A 5143-nucleotide genomic window follows, 5' to 3' on the forward strand; every position below is an offset into this window, starting at 1 on the left:
GGAGTTTACATTCGTGCAACTCACTCACACACAGAAGCAAAAAATCAGTTCAACACATGGACATCAGTTGACTAACCACCTGACATAACATCCTTCACAGTCACCAAACCATGCTATGGATGCAGTTATTGTAACTATTTGACCTCAACTCATATTTGCAACATCAATACAGCTTCTTTGCTATTAAGTCATAACAAAAGGACAAATTTCCTCTCCTATAAAGGTATTTCCCAAAGTCCAAATTAATTCTGTGACTCTGACCTAGAGTCACAATATACACTAAATCCAGTGCAATTCAGAAGTATGCATTTATTTCTGAATTTCATATATTTAACTGTTTGAAATCTTATTGAACTATCTTTTTTTTAAAGTTATGGTACTTTCTGTATCTGTTTTTCCCACTTTCAAGACAGAGTAAGATATATAATTAAATATAAACTTGCTTAAAGTTTTTAAATATTATCTTATTACATCCTTACCACAGAGAAATTATAGCTAGGCCTTCATCAAAATAACCAACTACTATGTAAACAGCATAAATGTGCTACATGCTATGCAGCTTCGTTTAAATGGAACTTGCCCCCTGGCCTTGAAGTTGTAAGTGAGACAGCACTGAAGACAGGTTGCACTGAGACAAAGAGCAGTGGCCTGGATATTGTTAAAAACCTATCACTAATTAATAAGAATTGGATGGATTACCCATTTTATTCATTTCCCTTGGCTTCATGACAATTATGCATTGACAACATCCTACACCACAACTACTGAAACCTTACAACACCATTTAAAACAAATTCAGTTTCAGAGAAAATGACACATTGCTAAAGCAATCACACATCCAGTCATTAAATCTGCTGCAGGGTCTGAACTGAACAGGCTAGAAATGAAGTAATGCTGCCACTTGTAAAACTGTCCATCTGCTAATGGGCACCCGCCAGCTATGACCAAAACTGATCTCCACAGGGTACACAGAGCAGTGGATTGTTCTGGGACAGCGGCGATTTACCACATCTCAGGGCCCTGTACTCACAGAGGAAGGGGGTGGAAAGGGGGAAGGTAGAACAGATTATTTTGCCATAAGGCAGATGAGAAAACCAATGCTAACTGTATAGTCATCACCTCTTTAAAGAACAAAAGAGAAGACTCCATAGGCGAACGGTCAGGCTATAACACTAACAAACTTCAGTAAATTCAGGAACTTCACAAAAGATAACCATCTTTAACTCGTCCTTGACCCTGTCTGCTCTTCTTTTATTTGGAACTTCATGGGTGAACATCATTCTCTAACCTCAAGATCATATGCACATGGGTGGGCACATGCACACATGTGTCTATCTTGACTGCTTCAGTGATCCTGTAGGTCTGACAAAGTCACATAAGAGATACTGGGCCAGGTGCAGTGGCTCACACCTGTAATCCCAGCACTTTGGGAGGCCGAGGCGGGTGGATCATGAGGTCAGGAGGTCGAGACCAGCCTGACCAACATGGTGAATCTGTGTCTCTACTAAAAATACAAAAATTAGCCGGGCATGGTGGCACGCCCCTATAATCCAAGCTACACAGGAGACTGAGGCAGGAGAATCGCTTGAACCTGGGAGGCAGAGGTTGCAGTGAGCCAAGATTGAGCCGTTGCACTCCAGCCTGGGTGAGACTCTGTCTCAAAAAAAAAAAAAAAAAAAAAGAGAGAGAGAGATCCTGAAACCACAAGTTATAGGAGTCTATATGCATGTGGGGGTATTTTTTGTCACCTGGTTAAAAGAAAGGCTTAGTCAACTGGATGCGGAAACTGCAGAAATCAACCTCTCCTGCTTTCAGGAATAGGCTCCTCTGCCAAGGCTAACACAGGAATATTCGGTTGATGAAGTGAATCTCTTTCTTCCGTCCACCTTTATCTCCCTCTGTATGAAGTAAAAACAGGAATGTCTGCTTTCTTAACAAAGAGGTTTTGCTAATGCTTGAGAAATGCCTTGACGGTGCAAAGTGATAGGTGTTACTGGAGTGAGGTACCACAGGAACAGACAAGCCAGGGCATGGCTGGCTGCTGGCTGCTCTGGTAACTGATGGTGCACCTGGGTGTTCTGTTTGGACCAGAGCACCAGACCTGCTCACACACCCTTCTCCCTTCCTCACTGACAGTCTCTAAATTGAGCAAATGCTGACAGCCAGTAGGAACAGGTCCCCAGCTTTCCTCCCCAGGGCTACCATGGTGCATGGACAGCCTTATTGTCAAACCGTTAAAGCCCAGTAAGATGAAAAGGCTTAAACAGTAATGAGCTGCAACTTATTTTCCGTCATGAAGTTTTCACTAATAAAGACTTTACATCTCTTCGAGTACATGAAAAAGAAAGCCTTTTGTTTGTTTTAAAAAAATGAGCCATCCAAAGACAGAAGCACATGAAAGAAAATCTCTTTTAAATTTGTCCATCTCTTTAAAATTTGGGAGTGACCATGAGGCAAGATAAGTCTATAAGGTATTTTGATAGAAATCATTAAGATAGACTTAAATTTATGAAATGAATAGGCCACACCTAATCAATCTATTTTCTTGGCCACCTTCCTGATCAATGTAGGTCAATCTCGTTTTAGCTATTATGTTTAATTGGTTTTTTTCAAAATGGTAGTTCCTGATCAGAATCATATGAGTCACAGTTCAATTCATCCACTTCATACTAAACTGCCTCTCTGGTAATGACAACTAATAGTGATTGTACACTTAGCATACACCAGACACATGCTGGCCTTGTCCATATATTACCACATTCAGTCTACACGACAGCCTTGCAAGAAGGGTTCACATTTATCCCCATTTACAGATAGGGAAACTTTGCCAAGGCTACCTAACAAATAGGGCAGAGTCAGGACTGGAACTCAGTGGACTCCCAAAATGGGCCTCTTAACCACTATGACATGCTCCATAAAACCCATGGAATCAAATCATTGATTCATACACAAATATATAGAGAGACATATATCTTAATGTACATATGTATTACATATACACACAAACACACACACACATATATATACACACACGCATATATGTGTGTGTGTGTGTGTGTGTGTGTTTACTCAGATATTCAGAGCCACGGTACTTAAAAAATGTGGGCAACCATTTCTAAACCTTTAAAAGAAATAGACAGTCTATGCATGTAGACCCTCTTAATGGTCAATGTAAATCTGGTTCATTTTGCTTTACCAGCCCATCTCTGGAATAATGAAAATTTACCAAGCTGAATATCCTTAGCACAACCTTTGGACGTATTGTCTGCATAATGTATAATACTATGCATGTTAAGAAAGGGGTCTTAATGCCACACGCCAGTCTCTGACAAACCCCATCCTTGAAGTTTGATTTAGTATTGTTGGTTTCTGATTTAATACCAAAAATAATTCCAACCCTATAAATCTGTTTACCAAGGAAGACGGAGATAAAGACACAGGGTATGAGTGTGTCTTCACATCTGATATTACAGGTGTGAGTTTAATCAGACCTAAAGTTTTTATTACATTTGTTGAAACGTACCCCGTGTCAATAGGGCTCTTTTTCTCATCATCTGTGACAAGGATGATGTTAATTTCTCATGAGTCACATGTGAAGCAACCAGGGAAAGAAATACAATCAATCCACCCAGAAATTGAATCCACAAAGGTACCTGGTAATGGAATAGAAATACCATAGAATCTCCTTAGAGTTAAGGTCTGGACAACATCTATTGCTTGGCACTGAGAAGAATTTTTTAAAAGAGAGGAAATGGGAGAAGGATAAAGTGGAAATCTAATTTTGAGAAATAAGGATTAAAGGTTCCATTATTCATGCTGTTTTCACTGTATATATTGAGTTAACAACATGTGATTTTACTGGATGAAAATGTGGGCCACATGCAAGGAGAGTGTGGTGCAGATAAATCCCCACAGCGACAGTAATGAGTGAGGGTTAGTGTCTTGTCTGCGTGAGGCTGTAAACAGTCCTGGGTTCTGAGCTGGTATAATAAGTGGAGATTGTTCCTGGACTTACTGGGGAGCACAAATAGTTTCCGCTACAGGAAAAGCAGCCCCCCCCCCCGAGGCAGAGAGGCGCGGCACTGCTATCTTCCTGGTTATCCCGTGGTAATGTGCGAATTGTGGGCCCCGAAGTGCAAACCCCGGCAGGGGGCGGGGCTGCAAGCTCCTCAGAGTTGGCTGCCTGCCTTCTTTTATTTATTTATTTATTCTTTCTACACACTGTTTTGCTGATACTTCACAGGTAGGTGTTTCTTTTGCCCCCTCCCCTTCCTTTCCCAAGGGTTAGGGGGTCAGGGAAAGAAAAATCAAGTTACAAGTTAAGTGAAGGAAACCCTCAGAAGCCCACGTGTGGATCAATCCATGTTGATGGGACAAAAAGAAGAAAAACAGGGAATAAACTGACTTCTGAGCTCTAGTGAGTTCCAATCTATGCCACCCTCACTAAGCCTACACACATTATAAAATGAATCACCTTTTGGCTGCCTGATATTCACTATTAGAAAGCCTGCACATCATCGTTAGAGCAAAGATCAAATCAGAAGAGAATCATCAATGGATGCAAAATTGAGGGGAGATTTCGATGCAAGGCAAGACATTTGAATGGTCTTAAAGTGCCTCCCTACAGATTGCTTATTAGTTGTAAGGGGAAATACAGTATTAGGTTGGTGCAAAGGTAATTGCAGTTTTTCCCATTTAAAATATGGAAAAAAAAATCACAATTACTTTTGCATCAACCTAATAATTATATAATGGAGGACCCAGGAAACATTTTGACTAAGTGATCAAAATTAACATCACCAATGAGGGGGAGATGCCCATCGTTCACCTCTGGATGTGTCCCATCAGCTACGGTGCATGTCAGCCAAGAACACATTCAGGTTAGCCAGAATCTAACCACGAGGAAGCATCTGACACAATGAGAGGTGTTTTATATATATATATAAAAAAAAATGGGGGCCTGTATTCTTCAAAAACGCCAATGTCAAAAAAGACAAAGCCTGTGGAAATGCTCCAGATTAAAGGAGGCTAAAGAAACATGACAACTAATTGCAATACCTGACCCTAGACTGGATCCTGTATTGAGGAGTCAAAATGCTACAAGGGCCACTAGTGAGCCAATTAGCAAAATTAAAATATGGAC

The 5143-nt window shown here is 40.6% G+C and overlaps 1 non-coding gene across 1 annotated transcript; it reads left to right on the plus strand.

Annotated features, from left to right (window-relative positions):
* The first annotated feature begins 4656 nt into the window (after positions 1 to 4656).
* Positions 4657 to 4744, plus strand: MIR548AI (microRNA 548ai). The gene has a single exon (NR_039672.1). It is a non-coding gene; the product is annotated as a microRNA 548ai (primary transcript).
* The last annotated feature ends 399 nt before the right edge of the window (positions 4745 to 5143 follow it).

Source organism: Homo sapiens, chromosome 6 (assembly GCF_000001405.40).
Source record: "Homo sapiens chromosome 6, GRCh38.p14 Primary Assembly".
NCBI classification, from domain to species: Eukaryota; Metazoa; Chordata; class Mammalia; order Primates; family Hominidae; genus Homo; species Homo sapiens.